The sequence below is a fragment of the Homo sapiens genome, chromosome 2 (assembly GCF_000001405.40).
Source record: "Homo sapiens chromosome 2, GRCh38.p14 Primary Assembly".
Classification (NCBI taxonomy): domain Eukaryota; kingdom Metazoa; phylum Chordata; class Mammalia; order Primates; family Hominidae; genus Homo; species Homo sapiens.
The window spans coordinates 16,571,413-16,593,540 of NC_000002.12; the positions used below are offsets into that span (position 1 = coordinate 16,571,413).

The window sequence follows — 22,128 nt, forward strand, 5'->3', positions numbered from 1 at the left end:
CGGTGAACCTGCCACAGGGCACGACAGCAGGGCTTGCACTGGAGAAGGGCTATCAAATCCATGTATTCTAATTTTTATAGATCGGCCAAGGACTTACACTGTCTTCAAATGCACCAGTAACATATACACATTTTCCTAACAACCCGTTTAGGACTGTATGGACAATTTGACAGAGAATCAAACTAAACTAAGATAATGTGAGTAGAAAACACCATTTACATAGAGATGTCTTTGGTTTTGAAAGATGCCCTGGCATTTCATCAATAGGATATATAGCTATCTCTGTGCCCCATGACTGTTGTATAAACACTGAAAAAAAGTACAGCAAAATGGATTCGCCAAAGCTGTAAATTAAATTCTGCCCTTCTTTCCCACCCACTTCCTCTCTCCTCCAATCTCTTTCCCCTTCAGGCTAAACTAAGAAGCATAAATAATTATCTATTATTAATATGTGGGGATGTAAAATGGAAGTGATTTATAGCACAATACTAACTGTTTATGAAAACAGAATAAAATGGAAAAGGTCTGCCAGCAAATATGTGTGACAGGGCCGGCATATTTACTCTTAGAGGACATTAGTCATCTTACACCAGGGCCCGAAGCCCTTTTCTATAGAACAATCACATTAGGACTGAAAAGAGTAGGAGGGTCAAAGTTCCTGCAGGCTGTCTATTTTCTTCACATGCAGTGGGACCCTGTGATGGGAGCAGTCCAAGGATGGCATTTTTGAGACCAGGTTTCACTGCCACTCAATATTAGACCTCAGGGCAAGCCAAGTAATCTCTCTGGGTCCAGATTCATTCTTGTTAAAAGAGAGGGAAGCTAAGAATAGCCTGTCTCCTCCCTACCTGCAGGGTCATAATGAAGATGATGGAATAGATTTAAAGCACTTAAAAAGCAAAAGTGCCAAAAAATGAATTTTTTTTTTTTTGTCACGGAATCTTTGTATTGCCATCAAAAAACTGCTTCCCAGGTATGTTCTGTTTTTGTTTGTTTGTTTTCTTTTGTAAAATGAGGATACTAGACAAAAAGACATCTGATACTTCCCCTCTTCTTCCAAGATTATCAAGCCTCCTCTGAACAGCTTAGCAGATGGGAGGGCAGCAGAGAAGAACAGATGAAAGAAGAAACCAATAGTGGCAGGGAGTGGTCTGAGTTAGCAACAACAGCAACGATCCCAGATGATAGGCTGATCTGACTCAACACCCTTGTTTTAAAGAGTAGGAGTCTATATTCTGAATAGGTCAACATAGTCAGAGTATTTTTAAGAGTACAATGATTTGAAGACTTTAGAATTTCTTTCTTTACACCCCAGCCCCCACCACATCCATTACTGATCTTGGCATTCCTATTATGTTAATTAATGTGAGTTTGTCTTGCAAGAAAACCATTTTTTTCAGCCACTGTCTTCAAGAAACATTTCTTTAGTCAAATCCAGAACTTGTACTTCTGGCTAGCATATCACTTACTCTCTGCTCTGTTACAGACTTCTTCCCTACTACCTGCACTACTGTCTCTTCCATGTGCTTACATCTTATCTCCTCAACAAAATTATAAGCTTCTTGAACAAGAGATCATGTTCTTCCAATGTCCCTATATTTATGTGCTATATTTCATCCCTCCAGGCCCCCTGACACACTAAGAACCCACACCCCACTACTGCCGTTTCTGCCCGAGGAATGCAAGAGATGTTCTGCATATAGTTTCTTCATTGGTGACTGTCAATCAAAGCCAGTGTTCCTCAGCTTACATTTCATGCCCAGCCCTAGGCTGGACACTGGATAAGACACAGAATAATATAAGCATAAGATGCCATCTAAATTCTCCCTTCAGGGATGTGTACAACAATGAGGAGACAAACATACATTTGCAGAAGAAAACTACCAAGGCTTGATCCCTGACAGTGTCTCAGACAGTTGGTGATTAACCACCGGACGACTGATTCTTGGCACTAACAGACTGACTTCTCCCTGCAGTTAATTCTAACACATTGATCAAATATTCTACATTTCCAAAGTAGTACCCAGCCAAGGTATGAGAGAAAGATAAAATCCAGAATTGAAGACAGAGAGTAGAATGTTATGAGATAATAGGAAAATCAATGAAGCACATTTATCAAGCACCTATGATATGGTTTGGCTGTGTCCCCACCCAAATCTCATTTTGATTTCCCACGTGTTGTGGGAGGGACCCAGTGGGAGATAATCGAATCATGGGAGCAAGTCTTTCCCATGCTATTCTTGTGATAATGAATAAGTCTCATGAGATCTGATGGTTTTATAAAGAGGAGTTCCCCTGCACAACTCTCTCTCTTTGTCTGCTGCCATCCACGTAAGAAGTGACTTGCTCCTCTTTGCCTTCTGCCATAATTGTGAGGCCTCTCTAGCCATGTGGAACTGTAAGTCCATTAAACCTCTTTCTTTTGTAAATTGCCCAGTCTCAGGTATGCCTTTATCAGTAGCTCGTGAAAATGAACTAATACGGTAAATTGGTACCAGTACAGTGCAGTGCAGATGAAAAGATAACTGAAAATGTGGAAGCAACTTTGGAACTTGATAACAGACAGAGGTTGGAACAGTTTGGAGGACTCAGAAGACAGGAAAATGTGGAAAAGTTTAGAACTCCCTAGAGACTTGCTGAATAGCTTTGACCAAAATGCTGATAATGATATGCACAATGAAATCCAGGCTGAGGTGGTCTCAGGTGGAGATGAAAAACTTGTTGGGAACTGGAGGAAAGGTGACTCTTGTTATGTTTTAGCAAAAAGGCTGGCAGCATTTTGCCCCTGCCCCAGAGATTTATGGAATTTTGAACTTGAGAGAGATGATTTAGGGTATCTGGTGGAAGAAATTTCTAAGCAGCAAAGCATTCAAGATGTGATTTGGGAGCTGCTAAAGACATTCAGTTTTAAATGGAAAACAGAGCATAAAAGTTTGGAAAATGTGCAGCCTGACAACGTGATAGAAAAGAAAATCCCATTGTCTGAGGAGAAATTCAAGAGGGCTGCAGAAATATGCATAAGTTACTAAGAGCCAAATGTTAATTGCCAAGACAACAATGGGGAAAATGTCTCCAGGGTATGTCAGAGAACTTTCCCATTACAGGCCTGGAAGCCTAGGAGGAAAAAATGGTTTTGCGGGCCAGGCCCATGGTCCCTCTGCTGTGTGCAGTCTAGGGACTTGGTTCCCTGCATCCCAGTTTCTCTAGCTGTGACTAAAAGGTACCAAGGTACAGTTCAGGCTGTGGCTTCAGAGGGTGCAAGTCCCAAGCCATGGTGGCTCACATGTGGTGCTGAGTCTGCAGGTACACAGAAATCAAAAACTGAGGTTTGGGAATCTCCAGATTTCAGAAGATGTATGAAAATGCCTGGATGTCCAGGCAGAAATCTGCTGCAGGGGTGGGGCACTCATGGAGAACCTCTGCTAGGGCAGTGCAGAAGTGAAATGTGGGACGGGTACCCCCACACAGAGTCCCCACTGGGGTGCTGCCTAGTGAAGCTGTGAGAAGAGGGCCACCATCCTCCAGACCCCAGAATGGTAGATCCACCAAGAGTTTACACTGTGTGCCTGGAAAACCACAGACACTCAACACCAGCCTGTGAAAGTAGCCAGGAAGGGTGCTATACCCTGCAAAGCTAAAGGCGCAGAGATGCCCAAGGCCTTGGGAGCCCACCTCTTGCATCAGTGTGACCTGGATGTGAGACATGGAGTCAAAAGAGATCATGTTGTAGCCCCTCTGTTTTGGCCAATTTCTCCCATTTGGAACTGTATTTACCCAATGCCTGTACCCCTGTTGTATCTAGGAAGTAACTAACTTGCTTTTGATTTTACAGGCTCATAGGTGGAAGGGACTTGCCTTATCCCAGATGAGACTTTGGTCTTTGGACTTTTGAGTTAATGCTGAAATGAGTTAAGACTTTGGGGGACTGTTGGTAAGGCATGACTGATTTTGAAATGTGAGGACATGAGATTTGGGAAGGGCCAGAGGCAGAATAATATGATTTGGCTGTGTCCCCACCCAAATCTCATCTTGAATTCCCACATGTTGTGGGAGGGACCTAGCGGGAGGTAACTAAATCATGGGGGTAAGTCTTTCCTAGGCTGTTCTTGTGATAGTGAAAAAGTCTCACAAGATCTGATGGTTTTATAAAGAGCAGTTCCCGGCCGGGCGCGGTGGCTCATGCTTGTAATCCCAGCACTTTGGGAGGCCGAGGCGGGCGGATCACGAGGTCAGGAGATTGAGACCATCCTGGCTAACACGGTGAAACCCCGTCTCTACTAAAAATACAAAAAAATTAGCCGGGCGTGATGGCGGGCGCCTGTAGTCCCAGCTACTCGGGAGGCTGACGCAGGAGAATGGCGTGAACCCAGGAGGCGGAGCTTGCAGTGAGCCGAGATTGCGCCACTGCACTCCCACCTGGGCCACAGAGCGAGACTCCATCTCAAAAAAATAAAAATAAATAAATAAAATAAATAAATAAATAAATAAATAAATAAAGAGCAGTTCCCCTGCACAAGCTCTCTCTCTTTGCCTGCTGCCATCCAGGTAAGAGACATGACTTGCTCCTCCTTGCCCTCTGTCATAATTGTGAGGCCTCCCTAGCCAAATGGAACTGTAAGTCCATTAAACTTTTTTCTTTTGTAAATTGCCCAATCTCGGGTATGTCTTTATAAGCAGCATGAAAGTAGACTAATACAGCCTATTAAGTGCCAATGATGCCAGACACTTTTGGGAGATATGGATTCAACGATATAGTTCCTGTCCTCAAGGACCTTAGGAGGGTGAGGACAGGATCATTAGATTCAGAAAGCATTTATTGGGTACTTGTTATATGCCTACCACAGTGACAGGTGATGCGGAGGATGAAGTAATTAATAAAATAAGACTGACATCCTAAAGTGAAAGTTACGAACTATCAGTAACAATTTAGTAAAACAGTATAATAAAAGTCATCATGCAGTGAGAGCTAAATGGCATTGAATATAGAGACTTTTTTCAGGAACAACGTAAGTGGAAGCTAAGAAAGTTTCTCAGAAAGGAAGATGTAAAATATGGCATCGTCGAAGCTATTATTTCACCCTGTCTTGGAAATCTTCCCAGGATTGTCCTCCTGCAACTGTCTCTTCTATCTTTTCTCAGATCAAATTAGTTATTCTCTCCTATGAATCCTGGAGCACAGGTCGTGTCCCTGCTACAGCATTTACCAATATTGCATTATTGATGTTGGTCATTATGTCTGCCTCCTCCAGTAGAGTGTAAACTTGCAGCTATTCACACCACGACTAGCAGAAGCTTAGCACGTAGAATACCCCTTTTATGATAATGTGAAAAATTGAACCAAAAGTATTGAGTTGTTTCCATTTAAAATAAACAGATAAAGGAAATGTAGACTATACATACAATGGAATATTATTCAGTCTTAAAAAAAGAAGGAAATCCTGCCATATGCAACAACGTGAATGAACCTTGAGGATATTATGCTAAGCAAAATAAACAAGTAACAGCAAAACACAAACTGCATGATTCCACTTACATGAGGTACTTCAAGGAGTCAAAGTCATAGAAACAGAGAGTGGAATGGTGGTTTCCTGGGCATGGGGAAGGGAAAATGAGTAGTTGCTAATCAATGGGTATAAAGTTTCCATTATGCAAGATAAATAAGTTCTAGAGATCTATGCTACAACAACTTGCCTACAGTTAAAAATACTGTATTATACACTTAAAATCTGATCAGAGGGTAGATCTCATGGTAAGTCTTCTTACCATAATAAAAAAGAAAAGAAACATAATCCAATATATTTTGTGAATTCATTTCAATTCTTATTAAGGTAAAAAAACCTATTAAATGCCATTTGAGAAAATCAGAGAAATATCTATACATACTATATATTAGATGATACAAAATAATGTTAATTTAGATATATATCTGTAACACATTTAGATATAAATATGTAACACATTTTCATATTTTTTAAAAAGAAGTAAAATTCACAAAGAATATTGCGCTCACCCTAACAAGAAAACAAGTTAGATACTCTACAAAATCCTTGTTATTTTTGACTATAAGAAAGTTGAGGTTGCAAAAGTCTTTAATGAATTATAATCCATAAGGTGACAAGACTTTCCTAGGAGATATGACACCACAGGTGATTTCAAGTTTGACAGAGAAATGGTAAAAGGAGAAAGCTGCCATAAATGCAGGTAACAAGAAAATAGCTGACATCTTCACACACTGTAAAAAGAAGAGTGTGAAGTGTCATGAAAGCTGAGAGGCCCTGGGAGCTCCAGGCAGAAGGACAGTCTATGTCAGCCTGCAAAGTCTCTTCCATGAACCTTCACCAAGTGCTAACAAAAGAAGTTGAGAACAAGAAAGGAAAAAAGATTTTAAGACAGAAACCCTCTGGGTCAGGGGAAGATACACAAGAGAAATGCTCCTACACTCTCAGTCTTATCTAAGGGTGAAGTGTGGCCATCTATGACTGCGGGAGGGGAGGAGCATTGGGAAGGTGCCCTCTAGGGCCCACCATGCCAGGCCTGCTGTGGTAGACAGAGCAGAAAAATGAAGAGAAAGCCACCAGCCACTCTCCAGTAAGTAAAGAACAACTGTCTGCCTGGTGAGGCCAAGGAGGTTGAGAAACGCCATCCTGAGAATCAGGTGTTCTGGAGGGCCTTCTGAAGCCTGAAGATGTGACAGGAAAACTGAGACAAACTCTTCAGATCCCCAGCTCTGGTAAAGGGCCTGCTTTGATCCTTCCCTCAAATCTGAAATTTACAGTGAACCACGTATAACAAGCAACAGTGTAGCCCAGATCCAGATTGGATGGACTCAACCCCACTAGTGGACTGACAGAAGAAAAGGCATGTGATTTTCTGAGTGCACGTATTATTCACATCAGTCATCACTGTTCTGCTGCCTGGCATTTGTTCAAAAAAAGCAAAGGAAAAAAATTAACAAACACAAAGCAAGAAAATATCACCAGAAAAGTAAAGATTAATAATAGAGTCTAGAGATAGTCCAGAGGTTGAAATGTACAGACGAGGATCCTAAAATAACTATAAAAATATGTTAAAGAATCTATAATGTTGAATAATGTATGGTAAAAATGGAAAATTTCAGAAAATCCTTTGAGACTATTTATTAGGTTGGTGCAAAAGTAATTGCTGTTTTTGCCATTGAAAAGGGAAATGCTAAAAATGAAAAATTCCACATTAGATGGTTTCTACTAATGATAAGCTCCTTGATACATTTATCATTAGTAGAAAGTATCAGTAAACTTGAAGACAGACCAATAAAAATTATACAAACTGTATACAAAGAAAAAAAGAATTTAAAAAATAGAACAGAGTATCTGAGATCTGTGAAGCAATGTCAAATCACCTTACTTATATAATTGGTGTCCCAGAAGAAGAAGAAGAAGAAGAAAACAGAAAAAGACATTTGAAAAGATAATAAGCAAGAATGTTCAAAATTAATGACAGGTATTAATTCATAGATCCAGGAAACTTAGAGAACCATAAACAGGATAATTACAAAGAAAACATACCCAGGCACATCATAGTGAAACTACTACAAAACAAAAATAAAGATAAATTATTGACAGCAGCCAGAGAAAAGCATATTACATCTAGGGGAGCAATGATAAAAATGGCTTCTCATCAGAAACAATGAAAGCCAGAAGACAATGGGATCACTTCTTTCAAGTGCTTTAAGAAAAACAAAGCAAACAATAACTGCAACTCCAAAATCCCCCAAACCTGTGGATCTAGAACTCTATGTAAGTATCCTTTAAAAATGAAAGTTAGATAGCAATATATTTAGACAGATAAAAGCTCAAAGAATTTGTTTCTAATAGACTTGAACTAAAAGAAACATTAAAATAAGTTTTTTAGACTTGGATAAAATGACACCAGAGAGACCTTGTTATGTGAGAAGGAATGAAGAACACCAGAACAAGTAAATACATATGCAAGTAAATATGAAGGCCTTATTAAAATCACATGCACATGCACACACACACACACACACACACACACTCGCTCTCTCTCTCTCTTAAATGATAATTGACAATTTAAAATAAAAAAACACATTTCATTGAGAAGCTTATGGCATATATAGAAGCAAAATACATAACAAAAGCACAAAGTGAAAAGGTGTTAATTTGCAGGTATACTGTGATAAGTTCTTAATTTCTTTACTATGTAAAGAATAGATTTTGAAGGCAGATCACAATCGTCTATATTATAATCTCTAAAGCAAGCAAAAAGTGACACAACTAAAAAGTCAACAGAAAAGACAAAATACAGTACCAAAATAGAGTATCCCAAACAGTTTGATTTATCAGAAAAACATGAAGAAAAAAAGAAGGCAAATATGACAAATAGACATAACACCAAGATAGACTCAAATATAAACATTGATTAATGCAATACAATAATTAATTGTATTGACTCAAATACTAAGCTCAAATACAAACATTAATTAAACATATATGTAAACATTAATTAAATGTAAATGGACTAAGTATTCAATTAAAAGGAAGTTTTTTTTTTTTTGAGACAGGGTCTCACTCTAGCATCCAGACTGAACTGCAGTGGTGTGATCTCAGATCACTGCAGCCTCCACCTCCTGGCCTCGAGCAATCCTCCTGCCTCAGCCTCCTGAGTAGCTGGGACTACAGGTGCATGCCACCATGCCTAATTAATTTTTGTATTTTTTGTAGAGATGAGGTCTCGCTTTGTTGCCCAGACTGGCCTTGAACTCCTGAGCTCAAGCAATCTGCCAGCCTCAGCCTCCCAAAGGTATGGTGGTATGAGCCACTGTGCTCAGCCTAAAAGGCAGATATTATCAGCCTGGATGAAAAAGCTAGGACCAGCTATATGTTGTTTACAAGAAACACACTATATTGATAAAGACATAAACGGATGAAAGCAAAAGAATGGGAAAATATATACCATGTTAAACACTAACCATAAAAAAGCTGGTATAATCAAAATATAAAATGCTTAGGGGTATATTTGACAAAAGATGGGCAGCACTTTTATATTAAAAACTGTAAACTATTAATGAGTAAAATTAAATGATATATAAATAAAAGGAAAGATGTGCTATATTCACAGATAGGAAAAATCAATATTACACACATGGCAATTCTCCCCTAATTGTTCCATAGATTTGATGCAATTATAATCAATATCCCAGTAGAATTTTTTATTGTAGAAACTAAGGACTAATTAGAAAATTTACTTAGAAAAGTAAAGGAGTTAGAATAGCCAAAACAGTCTTCCAAAAGAGTTAAAAGACTTACTCTTTCTTGACTCTAAGACCTATTGTTTGTTATATTTGGTATTAATTGGTGAGAAGGTAGATCAATAGAGTAATCAGAGAAAACAGAGAGTCCTGAAGTAGCCCATATCACACATATTACAATTAGCAAATTTACAAAATGGACATTAAAGCAATCCACCTGTGCTACTACAATATTATGGACTATGAAAAAATAATAAACCTAATACCTTTCTCACAACATATGCAAAAATTAGTTGAAGATCAGTCACTGATCTAAATGTAAAGCTTAAAACAATACAGCTTTCAGAAGAAAACAAAGCAAAATATCTTTGTGACCTTGGTATAGGTCATAATTTCTTAGAATACAGAAAGTGCTTAGCATAAAATTTAAAAATTATAAACTGTACTTCATCAAAATTTGAAACTTCCATTCATGAAAAGATATCAATAAGAAAATAAGTAGGTAAGCCTACTAGGTAAAAATATTTGCAAGATATAGCTTACAAAACACATGTATACAAAGTACAATAAAGAATTCCTACAATTTACCAATACAAAGACGAACAACCTAATTAAAACTAGGCAAAAGACATGACAAGATATTTTCTTAAATAGATAAGCAACTATACAATAAGCACATGAAAAAGAGCTCAACACTGTCAGTTATTATGGAAATGCAAATTAAAAACACCATGGGATGCTACCCCACCACTGCTAGAACAGCTAACAGGAAAATGACTGACAATACCAAATGTTGGAGAAGATGTGGAACACTTGGAGTTGCTTAGTTATTGGCAGGAATGTAAAATAGCACATCTCATTTGGAAAGCTGTTTCACAGTTTCTTTTTTTTTTGTATGTATAAGCATGTTTATTATTATTTTAATTTTTATTTTAGATCCAGTGGGTACATATGCTATGTATAAGTTTTTTACAAGGGTATATTGTGTTGCTTTGGTTTCTTGAAAAGTTACATAGAACTACTCTATCACCGAGGAATTCCACTCCTAGGTATTTACCCAAGGAATATAATGCCCACAAATATTCTACAAGAATGTTTATAGCACAATTACTAATTATAGCCCCAAACGGGAAATAGCCCATATGATCATCAACAGGAAAATGAAAACGAATTGTCATACAACAGAAGAGTATTCAATAACAAAAAGGAAATAAACTATTGATACATGTAATGACATGGCTGGATGTCAAAAACATTATATTGAGTGAAAAACATACAAAAAAGCATATTCTGTATGATTCTATTTATATGAACTTAAAAAACTTATAGATTAGCTAAATTAGACTTTTACAATGTAAGTCAGACCTGATCAGTAGCTGTTTTTGGGGTCTGGTAGGTAGACTGCCTGGGAAGGGGCTTGATGGAACTTTCTGGAGTGACATGAATATCCTGTGTCTTGATAGAGTGTGGCATTTGTCAAAACCAACTAAAATGTGAACTTAAGATCAGTGCATCTTAGTGCATGTAAATTATGTCCCAATGAAAATACAATTTAAAAAGTGGAGTTACCAGGAAAAGAAGAGAAATAATATATTCTGTGATGACGGAATAATGTCAGCATTAGGCAGAAGAAAAGAATTGGATCTTCCAAAAGAATCCTTTTTTAAAAACAAAAAAAATTTACAACTTTGTTGAGATTTAATTCACGTGCCATACGATTTGCCCATTTAAAGTGCATAATTAAACAGTTTAAAATATATTCTTAGTGTTGTGCAACCATCATTACAATCAGTTTTAGAACATTTTCATTAACACCCCAAAAAGACGTTGTGCCCATTAGCAGCCACTCCTCATTTCTCTCCAACCCTCTCCCCACCTCCGGGCCTAGACAATTAATCTTTCTGTCTCGACAAATTTGCCTATTCTAGACATTTCATATAGATGAAATCAACAGTGTGTGGTCTTTGTAACTAGCTTCTTTCACTTAGCACAATGATTTCAAGGTTCATCCATGTCATATCACCTATCAGTACTTCATTTTTTTAATTGATCAATAATATTGCATTGAATTGATATAACATTTCATTTGCCCATTCGTCAGCTGATGGGCATTTGGGTTGTTCCCACTTTTCAGCTATTATAAATAATGCTGCTATGAACATTAATGTACAAATTCTTGTGTGGACATATATTTTCACTTTTCTTGCATATACATCTAGGAGTGGAATAGCTGGATCATATGGTAGCTTTATGTTTAAACTTTTGAAGAATTTCCAGACTGTTTTCCAAAGCAGATGTACTATTTTACATTCCTACCAGTGGTGTATGATAATCCCATTTTTTTCACATCCTCACTAACACCTTATTATCTCTCTTTTTGATTAGAACAGTCCTAGTGGGTGTGAAATTCAATCTCACTGTCATTTTGATTTGCATTTCCTTCATGACTAATGATAGTGAACATCTTTTCATGTGCTTATTGGCCATTTGTTTATTTTCTTTGGAGAAATGTCCACTCAGATCCCAAAGAAATCTTTGATAGATCAAGTTATTTGCTGATTAAAATAAATAGTTTACTTGAAGTGAGAATGCAGAGATTTGAATCTACCTGAACCTCTACCTAACTTGGAGATCTTCCACTCCAAACTTTGGATCTTGGAGCTCAAAAAGTTGCATGGGTTAGCTTCCCTGTTGTAAACACTAACTATGTATCCTCACCTGGATGCATGAATTAAAGGTGGTTCACAAAGCAGCTTATCATCAGAAGCACCTGGAAATGTGGGAAAAATGGATTCTTGGGAATAAACAACTGAATCTGATTTTTTAGGTGAGTCTCAGGTAACCATATAAAAAGAAGGTTCACCAGATGTTTCTAATGATCATTTCAGCCTTGGAATTACTGAAACTACTTCATTGAAAGGTTAATGCCTACTGCCCAAGTTGGGTGCCATAATGGTGGGTCTGGTTGCACAATCTTGAGTAGAACTTCAGACATACTTCTTCCTGTAAACTGAAGCCATCACTCGTGAAAGATTAGTTTGCTACATTAATCTTTCATTTCTCCCTGTCTCCCAGACTTCAAAGAGGACATGGAGACATGGGAAGGAAGTAGAGAGGGAAGAAAAAGAAGTAGAGGGATGAAAAACAACAACAAAGATGTTAAGTGTTTGTAGAGAAATGTGAATACAAAGTATATAGAATGCACTGTAAAGGTCAGATGAGAATTTAAATCAGATCTATGCAACAGGAATACCTAAGGACAGATGTGTCTAATTTTGTATTGTTTTGACCCAGCTTAATTATATCTGTCTGACCCAGTTCAATTATATTCTACCACTAACTTCAAAAAGAATATTTAACACTCAAAGTAGAGGTGCCAAATTCATTAAAGTTGTTACAACATGCTGTTCAGCCTTCCTCCTTCCCACCATCTCTTCCTCCTTAACTCTTTACAATCCAGCCTCTATATTCAAAGCAACAAATTCGGAATCTGCTCCCCTAGGGGCCACTAGTGACTGGACAGCTCACTGCCTAATTCATCAGTCCCTTTTCAAGCTTCATTCTTCTTGACAGCTCTGCAGCACTGAATCCATTTACACTCCCTCCTTCTTGATCACATGTGCTCTTGTGACTGCCTGGATAGAGCCCGCTTCACTCTGTTCCCTCATGGGATCAGCATCTGTTACTGAGGTTCATTCATGGGTTAAGTGCTGAGTCACAAAACTGAGGGGGCCCAGACCCTGCCTCCAGGAATCTCAGTTTAGTAAGATGTCCTCCTTCTTCTACAGTCTGACCTCTCTCATGGATCCTTGGACTGCTCAAGCCCCCTTTAAACATAAGCATGCCTAATGTTCCCATCTGCTCAGCTCTCTGGTTTTCTCTCAGGGATGTCTGCTATTCTCTTTGGAGGTAAGCCCCAGTGCTGGACATCTAGCCCTAAGCTCCCAGGCTTGGCAGCCTTACTTTGCATGGTCTAACCCAAGCCAGCCTTCCATTTCATCCGCCGTTTCTCTCCAGCAAGCATTTGGTGTTTCATCTAAATCGGACCTCTTGCTGTTCTTCAAACATGCCCTTCCTATTCCAGTTTCCATGCCTTTAATCATACTGTTTCCATCTGCTAAAAAACTCTCCCTATCTGTGCCTGTAGAAAAACCACTCATTCTTTAAGGCCCATTCCAAATGCCACCTCTTGCAAGAAGACTTCTCCAATTCCTTCCATGGCCTTCTGTTTCCCAAAACTAGATGTATGCTCTTTTTCCTTCCTTACTGTCATGCCACACTGTGCTCTTGTAAGTCCTTTATTTATTTCATCTTAAACTGAGTGACTATTGTCCTTCACTCTAGCCTGAGACTTCATTGGGCAATGACTGCTCTTGTTTACTTCTGTGTCCCTAACACTGAGTGGCTTACAAGTACACTCACAACCATATTCAACATGCCCTTAGTGGACTGAATTGAAATCCAGAGACTCAAGGAGAAATCACGATAGCAGCCCACCTTCCCTACCCCTCCAGCCCATCATCATTTCTTGAAAATCATCTTTAGGAAATAGGATTTTCAGGATAAAAAAATTTTTTTTCCATGGAATGTCTTAGTTTGCAGACAACTAAGATGTCCCTCTCTGGTCAGGGACAGAACGATTGCTGTAGCTCTTCTAGGAAGCTACTGGTGGTGAGCACTTAGGGGAAGTAAAACCAGGGGAGGAGGAGAGCCACAGAGATCTTTGTTCCCATCTTGATTTCCTAGTCATTTCCTGTGTGACTTCACCCTAGTTATTTATCTTCTCAAAATTTCAGTGGAATAAAGTTAGTCTTATCCATAGGACTGATGAGAAAATAAGCAGGATTTTATATATGTTTACAAATTTATAGTTCTATATCTTCCTTAAATACTATAGCTCTAGCCCCAGTAATAAGCTACCAGATATGGGAATCCAGTCCACACTTCTTCCCCTTGAGGAAATTAAATTGACAAATGGAGTTTTAGTACTATAAACTATCATCAAAATTTGAGACTTCTAAATGCTCTGTTTAGCTACCATGACCTTTCTTTACATAAAACATTAAGAAAATATTCAAAGTACCAGACTGGGCAAAGCAGAGTACTCTGGTAGTAGTGGGTGGGGGCGCACAGAAGCACCTCTCAACGTCCCCCTATGTGCTATGGTGGGGGGATGGAATTTTCTAACATAGACTCAGAAATCTGATGCTCAGGAGAATACCAGTTGAAAACCAGTTTTAAATCCCTGCAAATTCTACTTGGATCAATAATACTGCATTTATTTTAAATCCCTGCAAATTCTACTTGGATCACTTTAAAGGCTTTTGAGATTAGACTTGACCAAGAACTCAACACTGGTCTTTCTGGAAGCATGGAAATCTGAGACTCCAAGAACAGCTAAACAGGCAAGTGAGGCCACTGAATTCTGGGAGGTACATATGAGCATGCACAGAAGCATACGGAATTTAGGGTTTCCAAAACAAACAAGCACGTTAGTCTCCTACTCCCAGGCCTTTATACACCCCCACAGTTGTGAATAAATGGGACACGTTACCACTATTTTGGCCTTTGTACACATTGAATGCAACAATGTAAAATGCATCTGATAAGAAATGGATGGGAACAATTAAACATGTAAATAGTAAAAGAAGGGTGGCAAGATATAGATAATTTGTTTTGCACATTTAAAAAAATTAATAAACCATTCTTTGAACAACATATATGTGTGTGTGTGGTTTTTTTTAGAGGAATATCAAAAGTTAAACCAGTAAAAAGGCCCATTTTATATATCAACTCGCTCTGCCTCTAGCTAAACCCCTTACCAAACCAAACCAAGCCAAACAATAACAACAACATAGCACGCTGATTTAAATCAGAAGCAAGGCATCTTTCATTGACTATAAACTAGATTAAATGTATTTTCAGAACATACAAGCTTTGGGGACACTTTTCCTTTTCAAGTAGCTATTTAAAACCTGCCAAAGACACCAAAAAAAAAAAAAATACACCTACGGAGCTTACACTTTTGGTTTAGTGCACCTTAGAAGGGTATTATAGCATTTCCTTAGCAAACTTCTTTTAGAAGGTTTAATCTATATGCAAGGAAGTTCCAATTATTATTTTTAATGGCGATAAAATATTTGAAAAATTAAAGTTTAAAGTACATTAGAGTGTGCAGCAGATGGTGATTAGTGGGAAAAAAGACAGTTAACTGTGCTTGCTATTGTGAAATTGGAATTTTGAAAAGGGGTGAACATGAGAGTTAAGGAAGAAACATGAGCTTAGTTTGAGCAAACATAAATGTTCCTCATTCATATACTCATTCTCATTTGTCAATATATTCAATCAAAAAATAAGAAAAAATCCCTGTCTTTTTTCAGTCATGATTCTTAAGCCATTTCACCTGAAGAAAACGTAGTTTTTGATAAGAGAAACATAACCTTTTGGGTAAAAGGGATATATGTCAAAATCCTGAAGTGGTTTGTATAATCAAATAATACATAAAGAATAAAGGAAATGACTAAAAATATTCTGTAAGCCTTATTTCTGGTATTGATCACAATTTTCTTTCACATTTAGCAATATTTGTTTTATATGAATCTTTGTAAATTACTGTCCTTAGTACTTTCTTTGGAATGTGATACAGTAATTCATAAACATTTTTAGGAAAAATACATGATGGTTTTCTTCACATCTTTTTTCCTTTGTATGTGCTCAATAAATGTGGGCTTACGACCTTCAAAAGGAAAGCAAAGACTAAAATGATCCTCTATTTATGCTAGGGCTACAAAAGTTGATCACTTCTAAAATCAAAGAAAACCATGGGTACATTAAACACATTTTCCATTGGATTTCTTAAAAATTAGGGAAAAAGGAAGGAAAATGACATTAGAAATGATTTCAGAAAAAAAAATGCATAGTGACTGATATGATTTGGCTGTGTCCCCACTCAAATCTCATCTTGAATTGTAGCTTCCATAATTCCCACTTGTTGTGGGAGGGACCAGATGGGAGGTAACTGAATCATGGGGACGGGTCTTCCCCATACTGTTCTCATGACAGTGAATAGGAGTTTCACGAGATCTGATGGTTTTATAAAGGGGAGTTCCCCTACACAAGCTCTCTCTTGCCTGCCACCATGTAAGACGTCCCTTACTGTTCCACTATGATTGTGAGGCCTCCTGAGCCATGTGGAACCGTGAGTCAAACCTCTTTCCTTTATAAATTACTCAGTCTCATGTATGTCTTTATTAGCAGCATGAGAACAGACTAATACAGTGACCTTTGGATTTGATTCAACTATGATATAAATATTTATGTTATAACTTCCTTATCAACAATCTATAAGGAATGTAAAAAAGTTTCCATTATTATAATTTTTGGAACTTACTTTCAAAATCCAGGAAAAAGTGTGGATAGTTTTCAATTTCCCTGGTAAGGACTTTGAGCAGGTTTCCCATCCCAGCAAACCTAGGAAAGGCAACACAAAACCAAATACCATTAGCAACATAAAAAAAATAGACTTGCGTGAATATCCCTGGGCCCCCCATAGCTACCTTTGAAGACCAGAAAGAGAGCATCTCCAACCCAGGGGTTGAGCAATAATGTAGCAACTCATTTCTAAATTGGTGACAGATAAATATCTCTGAGGTGCTGGGTCTCTAAAACTTGGGGACATGTGGCCTAAGCCATAAAAATTATGACAATGATAGAAGTGTTACAATCTCTCTCGAGAGAATACACCTGCAGTCCATATCTCGTTCACCATATAAAAAAAAAAAAACATAAAGAACAGCCTATGAAAAGAATCAGGTATTTTCATTATAGGAGACAAAGTTTAGGAATGTTCTCCGAAGTGCTTCCCTTCCACTTTTCCTAATCCCCTGGATCCTTACAGCAAATGTTTCGGCTTTGCTTTGTTTCCTTTAGATAGATGTGGAACATGTCACATCAGTGGAAAGACAACAAAGACGGCATTTTAAAAATACCTGTCCAAAAAAGTAAGTTCCTGAAAGCTCACGAGGAATAGAGTTTAGAAAACATATATTTACACTGCCAGGAACTCCTCTTAACATGTATAAGAGGCCAGATTTCTCAGAGGAGTGGCTCCCAGGCAAGTTAGAGGATCTTGTGATCTGACATTCCAATGGTAATGAGATTGGATACTTCTGGAAGCTTAACAATGAAAAGGCATAATGCCCAAAAAGTTACTCTCAGTAAAACTGCAGCCTAAGACATCTGCAAAGGTGAGTCAAATCAACAGAAAATTACAAACCTCTTACATATCAGCAGTCTCAACCTAATAAAAAGAATAGCTAAAATGTAGGGCTTTTTTTAATAAACAGAAAAATTTCTACTGCTCTCAGCTCTAGACATTAAACTATCTTTTTAGGGAAGTCATCAATCCACTCATTCATTCAACACATATTTACGGAGGAGCGATTAGATGCTGGGCACTGTGTTCTTGGAAAGACATTCCTCTAACTCTGCTGTAAGTGAACTCTTGTGCCTCAGATATTTCAGTTTGTGAAGGATCAGTTTGAAAAATTACTGAACTGGTGCAAGGAAACTGCTGGGCTTCAATTTTCTATGGCTATAGTTTCCAACAATATTTATGTTGATACAAGGAATTTTAAAAAACACACCATTCTAAGCAAGATGTGGCGAGAGAAGAATGCACTGAAAGGATGACTCTGCGCATGAGAATATGTAGCAAGTGGTGGGATCTGGTCTCCATAATCCTCCGCTGGGAAAACACACATTTGCAGACATACTCCCCGATATAAATCACTAACATGAAATCAGAAGACAGACTTTTTAAGTAGTCTATCTTTGTTAGATGGCCGGTGTCTAATTCCAGCTGTTTTCTACTACCTCTGTTATCCAGGGCAAGAGATTTCATCTCCATAAGCCTCAGTTTCCTCATCTGTAAAATTAACTTTTGAAAAGGATCTATTTCATCAAGTTGTGAGAATTAATCAGATAAAAGTATAAAATGCTTAGCACAGCACTTACAGGAAGTGCTCAAGAAAAATTACGTGCTTTTACTATTGATGATGATAGTCACCATCATCATCATCATCATGATTATGCTAACAGCCTTCAAATGCTTGTTTAGGATTAGCCTATGAAAGATGGATTATAATAGGCCGTATGCTGTGCTAGGAAAGAGAAGACTAACAGAGAAATGATGAGAAAAAATTTCTAAACATTATAGTTATCTGAATATTAAGTCACTTGCCTAGTGAAATAGTGAGTTTTCTCTCATTGGCGATATTTAAGTAGAAAAATGCTATAACAGCCCTCAACAGCGTTGGAAAAATGAATTATGTGTGGGGCAGAAGGCTGGGCTAGACGCATCCTAGACATCTCTCACCTTGAGGTGTAGGAATATATTTGGGCATGCATGCACACACACACACACACACACACACACAGGAAAGCAAACACCATATTTCTCTCTTCTCAAAGATTATTCTTTGTCTTTTCTGTCATTCTTCCATTCCTTCCCTGCCTTTATGCCCATTTCCTTTTAAGATATTTTTGAGCAAAATCCTGTGTGCGGTAGGTTCTGCCAAATTAAAGGTTGGGCTGGTAGAGTCCATCCCTGCCACTGGGCAGCATTCACTATTCACTAACCTCCTGGGTCTCTAGGAAATGATCTGTCTCCAGATTAAGGAACAATTTCAGATTAGGTCTGGAGTCACTTCTTGTAGGAAGATGATTTTACTGTTTGTAGGAGTACTGACTTTCATACAAAGTGCTTTGATGGAAGCTAAATATTCTTAGGTGTCTTAGTTTTGTGCTATGAATGTATCATAAGAGACTTGCATGGATTGGGCTTCCTCCTAAAATTCTGTCCTGTATGTGATTTTACTGTCAGAGTACCTAAGTAGAAGATATGCCAAGCCTTTGAAACTCATAACAGATAGAAACAAACACAAGTAAAAGTATGTCCAAATATTGGCTGTGGAATTCTGTCTCTTCAAAAGGTTATCTCAGTGGATTGGCTGATATCATCAGATATTTTTGAACATCATTCTAACATCAACCAAGGTTAATTACTTGAAACTCTCAGGATTCCAGAAGTGTCACCTCTCAAGCAAGGACCTCTAGAACAATGACTGTGGACACTGTGTAGAAAGTCTAGTCCCATGGAACCTAGAAAACAAGTGTTTCATCTCATTATGGCCAAATGATTTGATGCTTACTGCCCCACTCCAAGGTTGATAAGAATTCATGGGAGTGTCTTCTGGTTTAGGGGGATCTGCAAAGTGAATTGGTCCATCATCACACAGATGGTCACCTAGTAGACTCCACAGTTATTTTTAATTGGACCCAGAGTTTCACTTGGAAAGGCCTCTCATCCATATTCTGCATGACAGATTACTCTCCAATTTTTTCAAGCAGCTCATCAGTGAATACAAAATATACGTTGCTATTACCATAGTACTCATGAAATAGCTTAATTAATTCATATAGAGCTTATTTTTTTATTATTTTATCTCATTCAATAAAATAACTTTGGTTATTATGCACTATTAGAGAATGCAAATAAATAATGGAAGTAGGGAGAGTAGGAGAGTAAAAGTGAAGTAGTAAGATAAAGCTAGAGGCAAGAAATAGATGAATTATAAGCCATCCCATCCAGAACATTTGTTGGAGATGGCTTATCGTCTGCTCCTGGATAGCCAAAGCAAAGAAGTGTCCCCTTCAATATTTGGTGTTCAGAAAATACAAACAGGTTATACTAGAGAAGTACAGTTTTTTTAACTGAAAAAAGGAAAAAGAGACAAGACAATGAGAAATCTCCTCTGGTTTCTAAAAGAAGAGGCTGTTTCACAGAGGAAGTCATATTTGAGGATGAGCTGAGTCTCAGAGCTCCCATGGGCAGAGCTGTGGTTACACAGCCAAATGGGTGGCAGAGTAGCTTGGTTAGGGTGTACTCTGAAGGGCTGGGAACTCCGGTTTCTACATTCTATTTGGTGTTTCCATGGATACCCTCTTAATGTGACCTGCTGCTGGGTCTATCCCAAGGGACGTCAGTTTACCATTTTTCCCTATGGTGTGAGAGCTTATATCAGAGGGAATACGGCAATCCAGCAGGCACTCTGAGCTCCCTAGGAGGACTTTAATCTGAGTATCTGAGTTTATTACTTAAATATAGTATGTTGTGTATACTGTAAAGTTTAGGCTTACTTTAGACACACACACATATACACACATGTACATGCACACACTCACACACACACAATGACTCCCTTGGCATCTTCAGAAATCATTTCTAAGTTGAAGTCCTACTTATGTAGGACATAATGTAGCTACACTGGTGCACATAGAAGTTTTCAGATCTAAATTCATTCCTGTGGGGAGGGTCTGGTAGAGGTAGAACAAGGACAGAGAGTACAGGTTGAGTATTCCAATTTCAAAAACCTGAAATCTGAAACGCTCCAAAATCTAAAACTTTTTGAGCACTGACATGACACTCAAAGGAAATACTCACTGGACTCCAGATTTTTGTATCTGGAAGGTTCAACCAAGAGGTATGATATAAATATTCCAAAATTTAAAAATATCTGAAATTCAAAACACTTCTGACCCCAAGCATTTTGGATAAAGGATACTCAAACTGGTATAAGGTCTTGGCTACCAGAGGAAGAGACGGGAGAGGATATACCAGTTGTGTAAGCACTCATGAAGGGATGGGGTCCTGAAAATCAACATCCTTTATTTGGATGTTTCCTGCTTTGGAGAGTGGCATTGGAAGGTGGTCCTCCTTTCATCCATGTCCTCTCTGGGAGGCCTTTTACTCTTAGAGGCGCAAGTCTTCCCTGCCTAGATTTTCCAGGACTCTGCCCCTTCTCTGCTGAAGTGAAGGTGTCTGGGCATCTGGGTCACTGGTCCTTGGCATTGGCTGGGTCTATTTTCCCATGCATCGTAAGCTGGGACTAACTTGCAGGGATTAAGACACAGTCTTGAGAATCTGAAGCAGAGTAGGCCAAAGTAACAATATGATGTGTTGACTCAGCTCATTCTCAAATATGACTTCTACTGTGAAACAGACTCTTCTCTTAGAAAACAGAGGTTTCTCTTTGTCTTGACTCTCTCTTAGCTATGACTTTTTCCTTGTTTTTCAATCAAAAAAAAAGAAAAAAACAAAAAGCTGTACTTCTCTAGTTTAACCTGTTTGTATTTTCTGAACACCAAATCTTACCCAGAAAGGTGTGTACTGTAAGTAATACATGAATAGGATCATAGAAAAGAGTGCTTGAAAGAGCCTCAAGAATATAAAGCACCATCTAACTGCCTGTTACTCCAGAGCAAATCATTGTAGCTGTGAGCCTTGGGTTCTTCATTTGCACAACAGTACGATAATAGTATCTCCTGCATGGAACTCTTGTCAGGACTAAATGAACTGAGTGTGAAAGCACCATGTATACTGTAAAGGGCTGGGCAAATATTACCTATAATTGTTCAATATTACAACTCCTCTTATAGTGTAAGATATTCAGGGAATCCAATAAATGGATTAATGTCCCCAGCATCATATGATTCCATATGATTTCCATTTTTCTTTATTTTTCAAGATTGGTGTCCTAAGATTCATGGTCCTTTATGTATATCTTTTCCACATTAAACTATAACCAGGTAAATGCTTATAGGCATTAATAGCTGAAAGAGACTTTTCTACATGCAAGTCATGGTATTTTAAATACATTTTCTTGTTTCATATTCAAAATATACATGGGGCAGATATATATTATTAGAGATTGGAAAACTAAGAATTATTAAAATTCAGTGTAGAAGCTGATTAAAAAATATAAATTATTATGGAAGACAACTAAATTTTCAAAAGAACAATTTTTATGTAAGTTTGTGAT

The 22,128-nt window shown here is 38.0% G+C and overlaps 1 protein-coding gene across 10 annotated transcripts in view; it reads right to left on the reverse strand.

The window, feature by feature from the left end:
• CYRIA (CYFIP related Rac1 interactor A) overlaps positions 1-22,128 on the reverse strand; it is a 116,376-nt gene that overhangs the window by 21,954 nt on the left and 72,294 nt on the right. For all 10 annotated transcript variants that reach the window (XM_024453163.2, XM_047445942.1, NM_030797.4 and 7 more), the window contains one exon: positions 16,638-16,717. In XM_024453163.2, coding sequence (XP_024308931.1) covers positions 16,638-16,707 — 70 coding nt within the window. In that variant the 5' untranslated portion in view covers positions 16,708-16,717. The remainder of the gene's footprint in view (positions 1-16,637; positions 16,718-22,128) is intronic.